This window comes from Homo sapiens, chromosome 7 (genome assembly GCF_000001405.40).
Source record: "Homo sapiens chromosome 7, GRCh38.p14 Primary Assembly".
NCBI lineage: Eukaryota > Metazoa > Chordata > Mammalia > Primates > Hominidae > Homo > Homo sapiens.
In genome coordinates this window covers 48,621,654-48,642,963 of record NC_000007.14, presented here as the reverse complement: position 1 = coordinate 48,642,963, position 21,310 = coordinate 48,621,654, and the positions used below count along the sequence as shown (strand labels likewise).

The 21,310-nt window shown below is 38.4% G+C and overlaps 1 protein-coding gene across 10 annotated transcripts in view; it reads right to left on the bottom strand.

The window, feature by feature from the left end:
• Positions 1-21,310, bottom strand: part of ABCA13 (ATP binding cassette subfamily A member 13) — a 476,040-nt gene that overhangs the window by 4,534 nt on the left and 450,196 nt on the right. Inside the window, exon 60 of one of the 10 annotated variants that reach the window (XR_926914.3) lies at positions 16,233-16,365. The exons of 7 other annotated variants lie outside the window; for them this stretch is intronic. Coding sequence is in view for 1 of the 3 variants with exons in the window: in XM_011515134.3 (XP_011513436.1) it covers positions 14,552-14,564 (13 nt within the window). In the remaining 2 variants the exon portion in view is untranslated. Of the gene's footprint in view, positions 1-13,524; positions 14,565-16,232; positions 16,366-21,310 lie in introns of those variants that run through there. 2 more of the 10 variants (XR_926915.3, XM_011515134.3) reach the window with 2 other exon arrangements.

The window sequence follows — 21,310 nt, the reverse complement described above, 5'->3', positions numbered from 1 at the left end:
CTGGAAACTGGCCCTGGGAAGCATGATTGCTGGCCTTATTGCTTCAAGGTCTGTACTGATTAAAATTTGGCTGGGAAAAGATGAAAGGGATTGCATATGTAATTACCAGGCACTTGTTTGTTTGTTATATAAAAAAGTTATCCCAATTGTACTTCAACCCAGCCTAGGTGGACAGGCCCTATGACTGCAAAGGAAGTCTCCTGCCTAAGGGGCTCTGTTCCTCACATTGTAGAGTTATAGACAGTAGTTCCACTGGTGTCCCATCAGCAAGACATGAGCTCATACTCATACCCTAAGGTAACCTCAAATAGCAATCTCCAGGAATGTAGGGGTCCTCCAAAAACTATATGAATTATTCTACTCCCTTATCTCAGGTGGTGTTGGGCACATCATAGCATCCCAAAAAAAATCAGAAATACATGAATATACTCTGATGACTAAAATCTCTGTCCATTTTGTTCACTGAAGCATCTTTTCTAAGTACCAAGCACAGTATGAGTACCTAGTACCTAGCACTGGTAAATATTAGTTTAATGAATGAAATGGCATGCCCAGTCTTAGCAATCATACTCATCTCATTTACAAAGCATTGCTGGGGGAAAATGTGTTACACTTAAGTAAATTTCCCCTAAATGAGGCTGATCCCTAACAGATTTATGGTCAAATTATTTTTCAAGTCTGTCTGGTAAAGACAGGGGACCCAAGACAATGTGACCTTGTTTCAGTGACATAGATCACCCTTGTGAGCACCCATGGAGCTCTTTGCCCTGGTGTTCTGTTTTTCTGTCCTCTTGTCTTAATTTCAGGCTGTCAGATGTCACTTCCCTCTGAGGTCTGTGCATGGCCACAGTAGCCTCCCATCATTCGAGTTAATGGTTTCTAATCTTCACATGGCTGAGAGGTTGGTGAGGACACTGACAAAATATACATAAAAGCATACGGACATGCACCTCTCTAACATTTCTATTTGGCTATCTCTCAGAATTGTTAAAGGCCAACACATTGGGTTGGTACAAGAGGTATATATTCTGTGGCCATCCCCCTTCTCAGCAGTATGTTACAAGCTATGCTGCTGAATAACACGATCAACCCATTGTGTCTTCACCAAATCCCCCAAAGTGGGTCTATATGTCCACGTTTCATGAAAAGAAGGGATTGAGGCCTAGGTGGTTGAAGGGGCTTCCCAAGGTGAAGCACCATGTCACTGGAGCTTTGTAAATGCTCCTGGGAGAGCTCTCAGCTGTGTCTGGGCATAACATTATGTTCCAGGGCAGAGGGGATGTGTTGCATGGAGATGTGTTTCTGGTCTCATGTTTATTAATGATTCTGATGGCATGACAAAATGTAGTGTTTGCACTACTGAATCCAGCTCCTCCACGTACCAGTTGTTTGACCCTGGAAAGTCTGGTAAATTTTCTAACCTCAGTTGCCTCATCTAGCAAATAGATTAATTATAGTATCTGCCTAATAAGGTTGTGAGAGGACTGACTGAATTAATCCTTGCAAATTACTTGGAACAATGTCTGGCACTGTGTAACTAAGTAGATAAATAAGCAGTGAAATTTAGGATCTATTCAGAATATGACCAGAACAGAAGAATGTTCTTCTTGGAGTGAAGAAGGCCACTATTTATTTGGAGAACTTAGATAAAAGCAGATAAAACAATTCAAACATGAATAGGAAGCATTATATAAAAATACAATGGTATGAGGAGACAGTGGCACAGAGATGGCTGTATGTTCTTATGCATATTAGGATCCATTTTTACCATTAGTAGAAACTGCAGCCCTTTAAGTATATTTTGCTAATGACTTTTGAAAAATTCATGCTAAATTCCAGTAATTATCTAATAAATTCTCTATAAGCACATATGCACATTAATAATTAAAATTCTTTCAAATTAAAATTTCGTTTGAACTAAAAGAATTCCAACTTTACTGTGAAGAACATGAATTACGAAAAAAGAAAAATTACACAGAAATTAAACAAAAAGTAAATTCTACCAGTCTTCCAAAATAGAAACACTCTAGAGAAAATATGCCTGAAACAGATAGGAGATAGGTTGAAATAGGTTACTCAGGATCTCTCTAGAACAGTTAATAGTTAAGAAGACTTCTAAACGTAAAATTATAAAAGCATGGCACCTTCAACAATTTAGACACTCTTCGAAGATTATTAAATTCATTATGATGTAAATATCTAATTAATATTAGCTTGACTTTTTCATTTCTATCTATAACATACACAGTTATGTCAATAATCTAAATTCCCTGAAGGATTTATTTGATTTTCATACTTCCACAGAATAAAATGTTGCAAAATAGCCAAGGAGTCATTTATTTCTATGTTCACTCATTGATCTAACATTTCTAGATAATACGTTATGTCCACATTATTTGTATAATCGGTGATTAAATAGAGATAAATAAATGGCATTATCTGTAGGTAAAGGTGCTTACAAGAAATATTCTACAATTTTTTGAGGTACAACATTTTGGAACCACAAACATTAAATGTAATATATTAATTAATGCTAAAACAGAAGCAGGAATAATACATGAGAGGAAGAAAAAACATACACACATATATTTTGAAAGTCAGACACTTCAAGAGCAGAACAAAAGAGGTGGCAATGCACCTGCAGAGACATTTCTGAAAAATCACTTGTCAAGTTATACCAAGTGCCTATGAAGCTTTGCATTCCTGAGCTTAAGGCTCCCCTTATAAAAGTCCTTCCCCCCAAATTAAAAGTCATAATTTATAACAAATACATTGATTTCAGCCTCAACTATTAAAAATCTCTACAAATAATATTTAATGAAGAGAAAATGGCTATTATATAATATTAAGTGCAAAATAGAAAATCATAGACTCAGTATTACATTAATGATGTAAGTATGTTTGCACATATTTACAGTCAGACTGAAATAAATTCTGGAATGTTATCCGGACAAGAAATAATCGCATAACCATTAGGTTTTATTCTTTATACTATTTTGAATTCTAAAATAATGAGCACATAAAACTTTATCATTAGAAAGAAAAAATATACATGGCTTCTAAGAGAATTAAAGGAACATACTAATGTCTCATACTCTACGACTGTATTTCAGTTTCTGATTTTAAAAATCATTTATTTAGGAACTTTTTGTCACATTGCCTCTAAAAATTAAACGCATAAAATTCTTCTTGGTATAGAAACTAATCTTAGACTTTAGAAAATAACAGGATTTGTAAAATATGTAATATTTGTATTATGTGTTTATAGATATATGCCCACTGATTTCCATCATCTGCCCCACGAGGAGTCTATTCACACTCACATCCACAACCCCATACATGTGCTATTCCCTACACATATCTGAGTAGGAAATACCTTTAAAGATGACTTCTCCCTCATCCACCACAGGGCAAGAGCAGAGAGCGGAGGGGGACCAGGCCTCCCGTGGTCTCACGTTAAGCTCTCATCCAGCACAAGTGTTACAGCACTGACTGTGGAATATGGGGTCCCCGCTGCCTCAGACTACATTGGTCCCTAATTCTCATCTTCCTGCCTTACCACACCACACCCCACTCCTCATGGGTTGGTGCCTCAACAAAGTACCAAATTCCAGTGATCTGTCCTCAGCTACTGAATTGTAATAGGTTTCCTTTGGATGCATGAAGAGGAGGAGAGGATGGCACTGAGGAAGGGTGGCTGAGCAAACAGCGGGATGCAAACATTTATGTGAGCACTTGATGTGTAGCTGGCATCTCTGTATTATTAATAGAAACTTCCTCATTGTAATCTCAGTCCTCATGATTACCCACTGGAAAGAAAAGGAAACCAAAAGAGAAGACTGAGGACATGAGCTCTGTCCTGTATCCTCTGTGAGTGAGGCACCAAACACATTATCCCAATTAATCCCCACAAAATACTGATGCTGCTATCTCTGCCTCTGATTTACAGAAGCGAGGTGGATCTCAGAGAAGCTACATAACTTGTTTGGGTCACACAACTCCAAGGGAATGGAGGGAGTTACAGTTCCAGCTGAGTAATTAACCTCAAAACTCCAGCCTGAAGCAGGATCTCATCTAATCGTTAATGCTCTTATATCCTTTATATTAATACTTTCACATCAATAATTTCATTTTACTCTTATCACACCTGTACATGGACTAGAATGGATACCAATTCCTCTCTATAAAATGCAAAAATTTGAGGCCCAAAGAGATCAGGAGATTTTTTCTTTGTCACTCAGCTTATTAACTAGCAGAGCTGAGACCATGGGGCTTACCTCACAACCATGTCCCTTCACTGCAAGCACCTTTATTATTTCAACTTCAGTTAAGTTTGATTTGGATCATTTTCCAATCATTGCATATGCAAATCAGAATGGCTGTGAGGATTACAGACCCAAGGTATTAACATAAAGAGAGCCTTTGACAAATAACAACAACAACAAAACAGTGTTTGGCAGCTGGCACTCACATTCCTCCTGGAGAAGAAAACCTCTTTGAAAACAGCCTCAATACACTTCTGAGTTTAAAGACGAGATCGTATAGGGACATGACAGCTTCACAATAAAAAAGAAGCTTGATTCATGTTAATACACATCACTCCATAAACACTGCTCTCTGTGGCTGGATGTGTCACTTTCTTAAATGACTCCACCATTCATAGATCCAAATTAAAGTGGTTGGGTCAACGTCACCTCCAGGAAAGGCCAACAGAACTGTCTCAGAACTCCGGAGGCCATGTCAGCTTCATGTCTGAAAGACTCTGACTCAATATCAAACTCTTCAGCTTGTCCATGAGGCTCTCCATGATGTAACGAGTGCCTTCCTCTCTGACTTCGCATCTAAGAGTATCCTTCATGCTACCCACAACCAGATCTCCTTTCCTCCATCCATTCAGTACTAATTCAGTGCTCACTTGTGCAAGGCCCTATTCTGGCTGTGAAAGCCCTTCCTGTGTACATGCAGGTGTATGGTGCATCCTTCAATGCCATCAGTTGTTACAGTAGAGCTCCAAGAATACAGGACACATAAACCCTTCTGCCACTGACTCTAACACCCCTGCAGATGCCCAGTTCATATTTAATGGAGTAATGAGTGAATTAAATTCCTTGTCAGACTTTGGTGTAATGAAAACAATATTTCCTTCTTAACTAAACAGCAAAATGCATATCTATTGTTTTTTTCCTTTGTTCTTTAGAGTAACCAAAGGGGATCATTTTAAAGTAAGGAACAATAGCCAAGTCAGTGGGATAAAAAAAAATACATAGCCTCATCTCCAGCATTATATCATTGTCACCAGCTAAACAAACATGATAGAGCGTTTTGTTTCCAAGGTGGTGAGGTGACAGCTATATGACTCAGCCCCTTATGTGGCCTCTTGCATTTTTAATGGTCTCTGAACATTTCCCTTCATTTCAGAAATACCCTAGAGTCTAGATAAACAAAAGATTTTTTTTTCTGTCCTTAGCCACCAAGCTATTCTCACACCAGTCACCTTGAGAGGCCAAGAGAGCTAAAGTAGTCATTGTCTTCTGATTTTCTTTTCTTTCTCTCTCTGTTTTTTTTTTTTTTTTTTTTTTTTTGCTTTATGAACATAATAAAGAAAACACCCCATAGAAGAAGCCATGGCAAGCTACTTTCTGGCTTGATGAGTGCTGCCCATAGAGAAGCTTACAGTACTTCGTGCGTGAGACCTGAGGAGGAAAACACCAGTATTAAAACAGGGAGCCTTCAAAGCCAGCACCCCACTCAGCCACCATCTGTGCAAAGATGGCAGCTTTGTAAGTGTTTACATAAGGAAGGGGGTGCTCTGCTGCAGGCACACAAGCAAACCCTCTCTATTCTGTTTTGCTGCAGTTTTAAGTTTTTGTAGGGACATGGTTCCCTTGGGAGAGTGGATTAAACTTCTTCTGAGTTCATTTTCAAAGGCTTTGCAAATAACCTCTATCGTCTCCAGTCAGATCCCATGTAATACAGCCCTTAAATAAATAATGTAATAATAAGAAAAAATGCATAATTGCCTTAACAGAGAAGAATTGCTTTAAGATTCAACCTCCCTCCCATTGTTAAGAAAAGGCTTTGATAAGCCAGGCTCTGGGTAAGTGACTCTGGGCCGAAATGTGCCTGGAACTTTCCAACTGGATGCCTGAGTAATGACAGCACCCTGGCAGCCAGGGGCACAAGAGGGGAAACAGCTGAGGATGCAGGGAGGGGCCAGGTGGACGGACAGCCCAGGGATTCACAATTACTTCTCTCTTCAGGCCCACATTCAAAAATGTTGGAAAATTACTAAATTCATGGAATTATTGATACATTTGGGTGTATGGTGGCGGGGGTGATAATGTGGCTGGCTCCCCAGGCACTGGAGCACATGCCCAGGCAGGACTGCACAGGCTCAAAAACAGGGCAGGGCACACAGGCCTCTGACTCACCAGGAGTTCATAGAACCCTTGAGACAAGGGTCCTGGACTCCCTGGCATGAAATCAGGCACATTTTCCTAAATCTCCCATGGGCAGGAAAGACCCAAGTGACAGCTGAGTTATGAAAGTGAATCAAGACAGTGAATCTTTTCCATGTTACTCTGGATCCTTTCAAACACTAATTACAAACTAGAGGAGCTATAACATAGAAAGTACTAACTGGGATCTGCTTCTCCACGTTATGGTTGGGGGATGCCTATATGGGAGGCGGCTGACTCCTTGCTTTGTGAACAGTTGTGCTAGAGTGATTGATAAAGTCTTCTCAAAAGGCTGGTGCTTGCCTTTTAATCATTCAAATATGCCTCTGTACACAATAAAATTAATACTATAAATATTTACAATAATGAGAAGAAAGCAGGGGCTGTAAAAAGTCAATATGGATGTTAAAATTGGACTCAAAAACAATAGAACTAGACTCCCTATTTTACGGGCACAGTCACTTTAGGTGCAGGTACAATACCAGCATGAAATAGATATAAATAGATGTCTTTGAAAGCATTTAGCCAAGGCTTCCATCAGGACAGTATGAGGAGTTCTGCAGACTCATTTCCCAGTAAGACTGCTGAAAACTATTTTTTAAAAAACAGTAAAGTCTCCAAAATGCTATTTTTCTGTATACAGCAAGATAAAAAATATAGTTATTCAAGAAAGTCTACTAAAACTGAGTAAGAACAGTAATAGTCTGTGGCATTTAAAACAAGATCTACTCTTCTGCTACCTCCCAGCTCAGGGAAATGGAAACTCCACTCCAGCCTGCTGCATCCAAGAACACAGGGCTCTCTCCCACCTTAGCTCTCTGTAAGTGAGCTGTCTTCCCCTCTCATTCTGGCCCCAGCTACATGTTCATGAGGTTAAGCTGCCAGTGAGTACAGATGAGAGGTGATGGTGCCCTTTTTTTACCCAGCTCTACCTCATTAGACAAAGGCTCATTAGACAGAGGCTTTAAATTAAGAACAGCATTGCCGAGAATATTGGGGTCCCCCTTGTTCTTGCCTCATATCATGGTGTGGGGTTTCCACATGGGAGAAGCAAGCTGAGAGAATCTGAGGTCACTGTCCTCCCTCTCCCATGAGTGTTCAGCTCCTAAAGTGGGAGGGTCATTCAGAAAGAAACATGATGTTGCTCCCATTTCTAGCTCCAGAAATGTGGCTCATATATGTTTCCTTGCCTCTAAAGAAGCAAGCCATAAACAGATAACTGCTAATCTATCCCCAAAGGGACTGTTTTGTTGTTTTAGTTTTTAGGTTTTTTTTTTTTTTTTTTGGCAACAAAATGTGGAGAAGTTCAACCATAAGGGTGTTCTTAATAACTGGAACCTGTGGTGAAAGGCAATTGGGAGATTGATAGATTCATCGGAGATACAGGCTAAACTACAGGCTGTCTAATTTACCAGAGAGAACCAGGGAGACCACTGGAAGGAGCCCTCCCAGTGGCAAATTTGTGATTAAAACAAATCTCAAACACTGATCTCAGGAAGGAGTCCTTTAACACAGCCTAAATTTTATGAGATTTATATGTAGAACAATTTATGCCCATGATATTGTTGAAAACAATACAGCAATGAGTGAATCTTACCAGCTGCGTGTGGGTAAAACAACGAGGCAGAAGCAATCCCAAGTTACTTTATAAAATACTTTGAGATGAATGAAAATGAAGGGACAACATTCCAAAGCTTATGAGACGTAGCTAAAGCAGTGCTTGGAGAAACATTTATAGTAATAATACTTCCATTAACATGTAAGAAAAATTACAAAATAATACTCAACTGTATACCTTAAGAAACTGGAAAAAGAAAAGCAAACTAAACCTAAAGCAAGAAGACAGGAAATAATAAAGTTGGAGTGGACATTGATAAAATCAAGAATATAAAAACAATAGAGAAAAATGAAACTAAAGTTGATTGTGGAAGTTTGGAATGCCATATGGAATATGGCTATGAAAAAAAATCAACAAATGTGATAAATATTTAGCATAATTGACCAAGAAAAAAAGAGAGATGATTCAAATTACTAGTATCAGAAATGAAAGAGAAAGCATTACTGCTGACCTTACAAAAACAAGCCATCCTTGATGGTTTTACTGGTAAACCAAATGTTTTAAGAAATAATACCAATTTTTCACAAACGTGTTTAAAAAATAGAAGTGGAGGAACACTTTCCACCTCACTCTTTGAGGCCAGTGTTACCACAATACCAAAACCAAAGACATCACACACACGCAATCTCAAAAGAAAGGAACATTACAGACCAATGTCTCTTAAGAATATGAACACAAAAATCCTCAACACAATACTAGAAAATTAAATCCAATAATATTGAAAAAAATTATACATCATGATCAAGTGAGATTTATTCTAGAAATGCAGTTTGTTTATCATTCAAAAGTCATTAATTTTTTTGTTTACCCAGAAGTCATTCAGGAGCAAGTTGTTTAATTTCCATGTAATTGTGTGGTTTTGAGAAATCTTGGTATTGATTTTTATTTTATTTACATCTCTCTGTCATCTATCTATCTATCTATCTATCTATCTATCTATCTATCTATCTATCTATGTATCTATCTATCTATGTATCTATCTACCTATCTATGAAAGAGAAGTGTCTCACTCACTCTGTCACCCAGAGTGGAGTGCAGCAGTGCAATCTTGGCTCACTGCAATTTCTGTCTCCCAGGTTAAGGTGATTCTCCTGCCTCAACCTCCCAAGTAGCTGGGATTATAGGTGCGTGCCACCACACCTAGCTAATTTTTGTATTTTTTTTTTTTTTTTTAGTAGAGAAAGAGTTTCACCACGTTGGCCAGGCTGGTCTCAAACTCCTTGCCTCAAGAGATCCATCCACCTTGGCCTCCGAAAATGCTGGGATTACAGGGGTGAGCTACCGCACCCAGCCTAATTTTTATTTTTTATATTCCATTGTGGTTCAAGATTTCAATTTTTTGAATTTATTGAGACTGGCTTTATGGCTGAGCATGTGGTTGATTTGAGAGTATGTTTCATGAGCAGATGAGAATAATGTACATTCTGTGGTTGATGGGTAAAGTAGTCTGTGGATGCCTATTAGGTCCAATTTGTCAAGTGTCAAAGTTAAGTCTAGAATTTCTTTGTTAGCTTTCTGCCTCAATTATCTGTCTAATGCTGTCAGTGGGGTGTTGAAGTCCCCCAGTATTATTATGTGGCTGCCTAAGTCTTTTCATAGTTCTAGAAGTACTTGTTTTATGAATTTGAGTGCCTTTGGTCATTCCATATTTGTTTATTTATCTTTTTATTATTGAGTTGAGATATATATCTACAGCTATCTATCTTCTGGATGCCAATTTCTTATCAGGTAAATTTTTCCTATTCTGTTATCTTTTCACACTTTTGATAGTGTCATTTAAAGCATAAACATGTTTAATGTTGATGACAATTAATTTACTTTTTGTCTTTTGTTGTTTGTTGTGTTTTTGGTGTCATATCTGAGAATCCACTGACAGTTTCAAGGTCATGAAGATTTATCCCTATGTTTTCTTCTAAGAGTTTTACAGTTTTAGCATTTACATTTAAGTCATTCATTCACCTTCAGTAATTTTTTTGTATTAACTGTGTGAGAGGTAGGGGCCCAGCTTCATACTTTTGCATGTGACTGTCCAGTTCTCCTAGCACTACTTATTGAAAACACGATTTGAAAATCCTATCCACCCCATTGGCTCCTCAGCCAAGCACATACACCAAATGTCTGAATAGTCTTTTCAACATCAAATGTTCTTAGCACCCTTGCAAAAATCAGTTGACCATAAAGCCCAGGGTTTACTCCTGGACTCTTAATTCTATTTCACTGATCTACAGGTATATCCTATTGTGAGTACCACATGCAAATAAATGAAGTTGGGACCCTACCTCACACACAGTTAATACAAAAAAGAATTACTAAAGATGAATCGAAGACTTAAATGTAAGTGCTAAAACTATAAAACATTTAGAAAAAAATCTGGGGGTAAATCTTCATGACCTCGGATTTGGCAATGAATCCTTGGATATGACACGAAAACCACAAACAACAAAAGAAAAAAAGATTAATTAAGTATCATCAAAATTAAACATGTTTGTGCTTTCAAGGGCAATACCCAAAGTGTGAAAAGACAGCCCATAAAATGGGAAAAATTCAACTGATAAGAAATTGGCATCCAGAAGATAGATATAGATATAGATCTCAACTCAATAATAAAGACAAATAAACCAATATAAAAATGGCCAAAGAGCACCCAGACTCATAAAACAAGTACTTCTAGACCTACAGAGACTTAGGCAGCCAGAAGTCCTAGCCAAAGCAATCAGGCAAGAGAAAAAAGTAAAGAGCATTCAAATCAGAAAAGAGGAAGTAAATCTATCTCTGTTTGCCAATGATATGAATGTGTAACTAGAAAACACTAAAGACTCCTCCAGAAGACTCCTGGACTTGATAAATGAATTCAGTAAAGTCTCAGTTTACAAAATCAATGTGCACAAATCAGTAGCACTGCTATACACTAACAACAACCAAGCTGAGAATCAAATCAAGAACTCAATTCCCTTCACAAAGCTGCAAAAACACAAAATACCTAGGAATATACTTAGCCAGGGAAGTGAAGGATCTCTACAAAGAAAATTACAAATGCTAATGAAAGAAATCATATATGGCACAAATAAATGGAAATACATCCCATGCTTATGGATTAGAAGAATCAACACCATAAAAATGACCACATTTCTAAAAGCAATCTACAGATTCAATGTAATTCCTATCAAAATTCCAATATCATTATTCATAGAATTAAAAAAAAACTATTCTAAAACTCATATGGAACCAAAAAAACAAAAAGAAAGAAAAAGCTCCAATAGTTAAAGCAATCTTAATAAAAAAGAACAAAGCTGGAGCCATTACATTATCTGAATTCAAACTATGCTATAAGGCTACAATAACCAAAACATCATGGTACTGGTACAAAAACAGACACATAGACCAATGGAAAAGAATACAGAATCCAGAAATAAAATTGTACACCTACAACTATCTAATCTTTAGCAAAGCTGACAAAAATAAACAATGGGGAAAGGACTACCTATTTAATAAATAGTGCTGGGATAAGAGGCTAGCCACATGCAAAAGAATGAAACTGGACCCCCATCTTTCACCATGTATAAAAATTAAAATGGATTAAAGACTTAAATATAACACTACAAACTAAAAAAATCATAGAAGAAAATCTAGGAAATATCATTCTGGACATCAGCCTTGACAAAGAATTTATGACTAAGTCCTCAAAAGCAATTCCAACAAAAATAAAAACTGACAAGTGAGACCTAAGTAAACTGAAGGGCTTTTGCAAAGCAAAAGAAACTATCAACAGAGTTAAAAATAAAAAGACAACCCACAGAATGAGAGAAAATATTTCCAAACTATGCACCCAACAAAGGTCTAATATACAGAATCTATAAGGAACTTAACAAGCAAAAAACAAATAACCCCATTAAAAAAATGGGCAAAAGACAAGAAGAGACACTTCTCAAAAGAAGATCTATAAGCAGCCAACAAACATATGAAAAAAATACTCATCATCACTAATCAACAGAGAAGTGCAAATCAAACCCACAGTGAAATACTATTTCACACGAGTCAGGATGGCTATTATTAAAAAGAAAAAAAAAAAACAGATGCTGGCAAGGCTGTGGAGAAATGGGAATGCCTATCCACTGTTGGTGGGAATGTAAATTAGTTCAGCCACTGTGGAAAGCAGTTTGGTGACTTCTCAAAAACTTAAAACAGAGCTACCATTCAACCTAGTAATCCCATTATTGGGTATATACCCAAAGGAATACAAATCATTTCACCATAAAGACACATGCATGTATATGTTTTTTGCAGAAGGTATTCATGGTAGCAAAGACATGGAATCAACCTAAATGACCATCAGCTAAATAAAGAAAATGTGGTACATATATACCATGGAATACTGTGCAGTCGTAAAAAAGAACAAGATCGTGTCTTCTGCAGCAACATGGATGGAGCTGGGGCCCATTAACCTAACTGAACTAATGCAGAAACAGAAAACCACATACCACATGTTCACACTTATATGTGGGAGTTAAACAACGAGTATGCATGAAAACAAAGAAAGGAACAATAGACACTGGAGCCTACTTGAGGGTGGAGGATGGGAGGAGAGTGAGGATTGAGAAACTACCTATAGGATGCTATTTGCATTGCCTGGGTGATGAAATAACGTGTACACCAAACCCCCATGACATGAAATTTACCTATATAAGAAATCCACACCTATACCCCTAAAACTAAAATTTTTTAAAAATTAATAAAAGACATTTTATCCTTGAAATACTGACAGGATATTATATAAAATATTTAGAGTAGTAATCCAAAAACAAAAAAGATTTTCAAAACACATAAAAATTTTAAATCTAGGAAACTCTCCTAAAAGGAAAAGTAGAACAAAATAGACCAAGAAATAGATAATAATAATTTTAAAAATTGGTGAAAATGTTTGGAGGTTGTAGCAGATTGTAAATATTGCCCCAATTCTTCTCATTCCTACATCTGTGTCCTTTGCCATGTAGCTATACGTGGTGTTCTTCCACTATGGGTGGGACTACCTTCCTACCCTTTTACTTTGGGCTAGCCACGTGACTTGATTTGGCTAAAAGGACATTAGTAGTGGTGATGTGACCAGAGGCTTGGTTCATCCTTGTGCAGTTTGGCCTGTCCATTCTGGTGCCTCAACATTCCAGACACCAATCCCAGGATGACAAGGGACAGGTGCACAAATCCAGCCCAGGCCAGCCCATCTCCATAAAACCTGCAGGCTCTTGAGGGCAAATGATTTTTTAAGCCACTGAGTTTTTTTGGACTTTGCAGCTTTTTTTTTTTTTTTTTTTTTTGCCAAAATGTAACTGATGCTTTAGGAATTTTTTTTGTTCTTTTATAAAAATGGAATGAAAAAATAAAATTTGTAAGATAACTATGAAACAAATGTTGTGGGCTGGTGCATTTAAAAATACACACTCACACACGCATTTTATGCTCATAGTTTGAACTCAGAGTAAGAAAAGCTTCTCCCAAATCCCAATCCTGATACATTTTAAACCTGGAATAAAGAAATCCATTTCCTTGGTTAGGCTATGTTTTCTTGTGCCTAGGCTATATTTACAATAGGAAATCATAATCCCATAGTGTACAGTTGGATTCTGGAATGGCATATTTTTGCTGTCTGCAATGCACATTAATTCTTGGCAAGCCGGTGTACACCAGCACTAAGTCTGGCTGTCCAGCAGAGAAGGTGACAGCACAATATTGCCAAGGCCATGGCAGCAATTAGGACTGAATCGTACACCTGATAGTTTCTGTTAGTGGAGATGCCAAAGGCAGACAGAGTCCAGTTTCGAAAAGCAGCAAACTAGTCATGAATAATGCAGACTGTTTTGAGAGAAAGCAGGCTTCACCCTGTCTAAAGATAAATGGCATCAGAGTAAAAGTCTCCATCAAAGGGGTCAGTTATTGTTCTTGTTAGTGGTTGTTGTTCATTAAGCTAGGCAGAAGCTGAATGCTTGAGTGGCCTCATCTGATTCGTCTTTTACAGTCTAGTTGCAGCATTCTGAAAGGAATTCCCGTTAAGCAAAAAGCTGCCATGTACTAGGAATTTTACATTCATTATTAATACATTCATTCATTTGTTCAACAAATACGTTGAGCACATTTATGTACCTGGCACTATTTCAAATGGTAAGGATACAGAAGTAAACAGAAGAAAAGGTTTTACCCTCAGAAAGTTTACATGCTACTGGGCAGAGATAGACAATAACCTCTAAGTACATAAATTAATGCTATATTTAATATGTCACAGGGAATATTAGTCTGTTCAGATTCATGTACAGTGACAGAAAGCCCCAAATAGTAAGGATGTTAATGTTTAAAGTCTGAAGTCAGGCAGCCAGAGTAGAAAAAGCATTCATTTGGCTCATTCTGTGTTATTGCTCCGCTTCACAGGTCTCCATTGCTAAGATTTCCTCGTGGCTCAAGATGGCTGCTTCATCTCTAGCCATCTCTAGCCATCAGCTCTGTATAAAGTAAAAGGAAGAAAGAAAGGGAAGAATCAGGGATGTCCCTCCTTGCAAATTCATATCCCTGACATTGTGGACATCTCTTCTTACTATAACTCTTCGGCCACATGTAGCTGTAGGGAAAGCTGGAAAACAGTCTTATTCCTATGTAGGCATGTTGTCAGCTAACATCCAGGTGTTCTTCTTCTTCTATGAATAATTACAATCGATGCTGGAGACCTCTCTGAAGAGGGGACAGTAGAGCAGAGAACTGAAGGAACTAGTCATGTGTTTTTCTTGGGAAAGAACTTTACAGCGGGGGAAAGAGAAAGCATAGCATGCTCAAGTGGTGCTACGGTTTGAGCGTGTCCCCCCGAAGTTCAGGTATCAGAACCTCAATTCCTCAATGTGGTAGCACTGGGACATAGGACTAAGTGGGAAGTGTTTGGGTCATGGAGACTCTTCCCCCATGAATGGATTAATGCTATTCTTTAGAGACTGGGTTAGTTCTCAGGGAACTTGGCTAGTTCTCATTAAAGTGGGTTGTTACATAGCAAGCTTGACCCCTTGTGCTTGTCTCTTTTAGCTTGCACTCATATGTCTGTGCTTCTGCCAGGCTATCCAGCAGCACTAGGCCCTCACCAGAAGCCGACCAGAGGCAGCCACCAAATCTAGGACTTCCTAGCCTCCAGAATTCTAAACTAAATGAACCTCTTTCCTTTATAAACTACCCAGTCTCTGGTATTCTGTTATAGTAACAGCAAATGGATTAACGCAGGTGAGAAAATGATTGGTATATTCCTCCATTTCTTTTCAAAATACTATAAAATACGTATTATTATCTCCACTGAAGAAAAAGACTACCTCCAGAGATGTTAACTTTTTCCAAGTTACATACGTAGTAAGTGAGTAAGAGTCTTACTCTAAATATCTTTTATTTCATCAAACCAGGCTTTCAAAGCAGAGTCTGTGCATCTTTTTAAAAGAAGATAGTCTGTTTTCTCGGTAAATACACAGGAAGTAAATTCAACAAAGAGTAAAGTGTGTAGGTTTCATCACGCAGGTGCCCACGACATGTACTTGAAGCAAAGCTTTGTTCTTTAGTCAGTTATACATAAGGTTGGTTGAGACTATTGAAGTGGTATAGAAAGAATAAGAAACTTAGAGTCAAGAAATTGAGTTTGAAAACTGCTTTTCTCAATACTGACTCTGTTTTGGGGCCAACTGCTTAAATTCTTTAGGTCTCAGTTTCTTTATTGTGAAGTGGGTACAATAATAGCCATTACGTAATAAAGATTAAATAAGACCATGCACAGAAAGCATTTGGCAAATTGCCTATATTTAGTAATAATTAAAATAAATGCAGCAACATGAATCTGAGCTCAGCTCACTCTACTTCAGAGTTTATAAATATTGCTTCAAAGTTGTGATGAGTTCAGCTACTTATTCCTCCGTCTCAACCATACGCAATAATCACCCCCAACTTTAAGTTTTCTCTCCTGCTTCTTGCCATAGCAAAGAGAACATGAATATCAACAGCCCTTCCTCGTAGGAATTCTCCAAACAGCCCATCAGTGTCCCTAGGAACATACTCAACACCCAGAATCCTCCTCACCCTCACAGCCCACCCAACTTCTGTTTCTCTAAAGACATCACTATCTTTCCATGTCCCAAACCCAAAGGCACCTCCTTTTCTCAAGCTCAGATCAGCCGGCTGTAAAGTTCTATTATCGTGTTCTTCAGCGTCTCCTGCACCCATGCTGCCTTCTCCATGTGCTTGGTCACCAGTTGACTTCAGTTTGTCTTATTTAACTTCCTACTAGAGAACAAAAATTTCTGTTTAATAGGCCAGTTATTCTCCTGTTTCTTTTTGCTTCCCTTTGTTCCTCCATTATTTTGCCTTTTTTTTACCTTAGAATTAATATTTCCCATAATTTGGTCCCAAAGATTCCCTTCAAGTTTATGCCGCATGATTCCACCTGTATTCCACTTGCCATCAAGCTATTTCAAACATGGTTTACATTGTTCATCTCTGTGCCACTACCTCTAATGCATTCATAGTTGATTAGCTGGCTAAGCATACACGTGATTTAAATTCCTCCTCACCCATAAAACTACCTGTGCCAATCCTTCCCCTAAAACAATGTGTGTGCATTCTTCCTCCTCCTAACTCCTACCTCATGGGCTTTGAAACCTTCTTGTCGTGCTAATGGTCTTTCTTACATAATTTTTTTATTTGAGTGTCTAGCCCAGTTCTTACAGGGCTCATGCCTTATTACCCACTCAATCCCAAGACCCTGGCACTATGTAAACATTCAGTAATGTTTGCAGGTTTAAACTGAGATGCACAACACAGCATTTCGTTCACCAGTCTCTTAGAACAATTATCATATTGTGTTGTATTCATTGTTATGTTTCTGCCTGTACACTATGCCGAGTTTATTGAGATTAGGAATCACATTTTCATCATCTCTAATTAAGTGGTTACTCAATAAATGTGTATGAATGAACAGGACTCATGATGTGAGTCTGAGTCCCCAACAACTTCACCCATCTAAAAATATCTCCAACACTTCTATTTTCCATCTTCATTGTGAGTGAAAAGCATTCTGTTTATTCTTACAGAAAATATTAAAAAATGAATGCCGAATGTTTACTTTTGATAAAGTGACAGCTCTGGGTGATACTGTTCATGACCTGAATTTCCAAGACCAGAGGCAGCTAACCAAAATGTCCAGCATGAGAATGGCATGAGAATCAGAAAGTCTTCCCAGCTAATTATGTCAGAGCAATGCTGTGTTCATACAACATGATGTTGTGACAACAAATGAGATGACAAATTACACATAGCAGGTGAGGTGAAACACGCTGAGGATATGGAGGTGCACTATCTCTCTTAAAATCATTTCTAGTAAAGAGAATTAATTCAGTGGTTAGTAGCAGCAGGTGAATTATATGATGCTTTAAACTAAAGTAAAATATAGAAAAATATAACTCAGTAGCACATCATTCCATAGTTCCACATCATGGCAGAAATTATTTTTGTGCTCATGTGCAAACTTCCTTCCCCATTTGTGAAAGTGACATAAACATACTGAATTATCTATTTCACTTTTAAATGATCCACTTCATTATGTGGTGATGCAATCTTAATCCGAGATGTTATGATTATAGTAATGGTTTATAGATATATTAAGTCAAAGTTGCCACACTAAAGCATATGGTGTCACATAAGGTGATACATTAATTTGCAGCTACTCAGACAGTGGTAGCTTGAGAGCTCAAACAAGATTCTGCCTCCTTTCATTTTTTTTAGGAAAAAAATCCACAAACAAACCCTTCTACACTATTCTTTATATTTTAACTTAGATGGCTATATAACACATCTATGATGGGATCCTTTGAACTTTATTCTACTTTTATTCTTGGTTCTCAAAGTTTACAGTTGATAACTCAAGGAAATGTAAATTCTCATAATCTTAACAATTTTCTTTAAATCATTTGAAGCTGTGTTTTCTTTATAAAAAATAAAAAAGAAAGAAAGAAAGAAAAACAAACAAACAGGCTGGGTGCCTTGAGTCACACCTGTAATCCCAGCACTTTGGGAGACTGAGGCGGGCAGATCACCTGAGGTCAGGAGTTCAAGACCTGCCTGACCAACATGGTGAAACCTCATCTCTACTAAAAATACAAAATTAGCTGGGCATGGTGGTGCATGCCTGTAATCCCAGCTACTTGGGAGGCTAAGGCAGGAGAATCGCTTGAACCTGGGACAGAGAGGTTGCAGTGAGCCGAGATCGTGTCATTGCACTCGCACACCAGCCTGGGCAACAAGAGCAAAACTCTGTCTAAAAAAAAAAAAAGAAAAAAGAAAACAACAACAACGACAACAAAATACACAGCCTTTATCCTCCCTCACCCCAAAATCATAAATTGGCCTGGAGTATTTCACATTGTAAACTCTGTGCTTCAGAAGCATGTTTTATTTCCTTTCCATGACAGGAGTGTTTTTACCAAGTCAGACTTAAGCCTCCTATGTCAATCAGGTTCAAGGGAGGAGAAAAGCAAATAGATGCCGCATGCAGCTGTTAATGGTTCCCTCCAGGTAAGTTGGGAATATGCTCAGTGTCTGCAAGTACAAAGGCAGCTAGCTACCAGGGCACCATTATGTGCTCAATTTATGACATGCAGAGGATTTGAGGATGCATCCCTAATTGCCTGGGACAAAACATCAGTGCCCAAAAGGATAGTTTTAGCCACCTGTGGCTATTAGGTGAGTGCCACTCCACTCCAGCTCTCCTCTGTTATTAACTGAGCCACACACACACACACACACACACACACACACACACACACACTCTATCATGTGCTCACACGTAAACTCATGAATCTCTATACCATATAGGGCTCTTTCATAGCATATGACAATCTTAAATTGAAAGCCCAAGAGTCCGTTCAGCTCAGCTGCTCAACCTAACGACCTACCCTCAATGGAGGAAAAGAATCCAGTCAGGTGAATAAGTGAGGCTGCAGGCTTCCCACTCCACAACCATGATCCCTATCTTCCTTGGGAACAGAAACCTAACCTTATTTAAGTAGCAAAGTGCCCAGCTAGAGTCTACATTTCTTAGACTTCTTTGTAGCCAGGTGACAAATAAACCTAAGTACAAGTTGCTGGGTGGGACTCTGACAGAAAGCTACTTTAAGAGGGAACAGACAGTTGGCATGTGCTCTTTTTGCTTTTCTCTGCTTTTCTTAGTTGTTGCCTAGAACATATATATATTGGGTGGAGCTACAGCAGCCACTTTGGGAACACCCACACTGTCAGGCCTAGGACCTCTTAAGGAATGCCAATAACCAGTTACCTCTGGATTCTTACTACAAATAACGATGAATATGGTTAAGTCAATGTGGTTGATGTTCTGTTATTAACTGCTCTTGACTGTGAAAAGATCAAGGATGTAAAGCAGAATAAAACCACTGACAGAAGGCATCCCAAGGGAAATCGATTATGTTATCATCAAACAGAATAAAAACACTCAATAATTAAGCAGATTTCTTTCTCAGACATAGATACAAAGAAAGAAAAGGATAACGAAGAAATAAAAACTTTGTGAGAGCCCATCAAAAAGCTAGCTGACAAGAGGTGTCTCTCAGGAAATTAGAAATTACTTGTTAAATGAGTAGGATGATGAGGTCTCAATAGGAATGGAAAAGATATTAAAATTTTGCCAAAAGACATGTCAACAAGAGAGAGTTGCTGGTGCAGACACCATTGAAGATGCAGCGAGAGTTTGCATGTTCATGCTTACGGCTCTGGGAAGTGCTCCAGCAGGAAGGAAGCGGAAATGGTGACCAGGCCTGCAAGCTTGGAGTCAGACTGGCTGCAGTTGAAAGGCAGCTCCACCACAGGTAGGAGGCTCACTTCTTTCATTTGTTAAATGTGGACAATCATGAGATGATGCATCATAGAGCAAAGTAGCACCAGAATGCTGGGGTTCAAATGTCAGTCCCTCTACTTACTAGATGGTAATCCTGGAAAAGTCACTCAACCTTTCTATGACTACTTTTTTATGCCTATAAGATGAAGGGTAATAATAACAGCTACTTTGTAGGATTGTCATGAGGAATAAATTGATTCATGTGTATAAAGCACTTACAGCTGGCATACAGTAAGCACTATATAAGAATTAGTTCTCAATATTATTATCCAGATTGCTAGATAATCTATATATCTTGCTCAGAGCAGTAGGTAACAGACTATAATAAATGGTGAAGACAAAAGAGATAAAAGATGAGGATGAGGACAATTAGGAAAGGGGGAATATCTATAGGCTAGAAAGGCAAGAAGAAGGGAATATAGTGATGCAAGACAAGGGGACATAACATCACTAAGAGATGGTCCAGTATTGCGCGTTAGGACACACTCTACAGATTTTATAAGGGGTAAATTTTCCTTTGCCAGGGAGTAAAAGGGGAGAAGAGAATTTTCCAGGAGTTTATTGAGCCCAAAGGGAGGACATCCAGCAGCATTCTAACCCCTTCTGCTCCAAGAGGAAAATGGCACAGGTGTAGCCCAGGTGTAAACTGGGTCCAGGCTAGAGAAACTGAGAAGTAGAGAATGGATTAGGAGAGAGAAGGTTCGGCAGAAAGAACAAATAATAATAATCCTTTGAGGGTGTGTTTTGGTAATGCCACAGGAAGGACAGCTGAAGAATGCATCTGAGGAGCACTCTGTGACAACCTTGCAGGCTTAGCAAGAGTCCTGCAGGCTGGAGAGGGGACAAGGAGGGACTTGATGATTTCTCCAGTTGAAATAGGCCAGAGGGTCATAAGGGTGGGAGAGAAGAAGGGAAGCGCTGGAATGAGGTCAAGATGACCAGGGAGGGAGCAAATACACTTTTCCCTATGAGGTTGGGTCCCCGAAATTCTATACTCTAGATGCTGTCTGTCCTTCTGGGAAATCAATTACCAATTTTGAACAAATATTTCCACCTGCACCAGACTCAGGATTGGGGCAGTTGGTGTTGGCTGAAGCCAGGAAAAGCATGATGAGGTCCCAAACCAGCATCAGGAAAATGCTTTTAGCTAAATCCCACTAATAGAAATCCATTGTTGGCTTATTTTGTTGAAGTGATAAACCATAGACATGATTCTTTAAACTTTAATTTGGTTAGTTCTTAACTTATGAACACATACAGCAGTTTAGAAATACATTGGAATACCAATCTAAAGTTAAAATCATTGTTTAACTACTTAGAAGT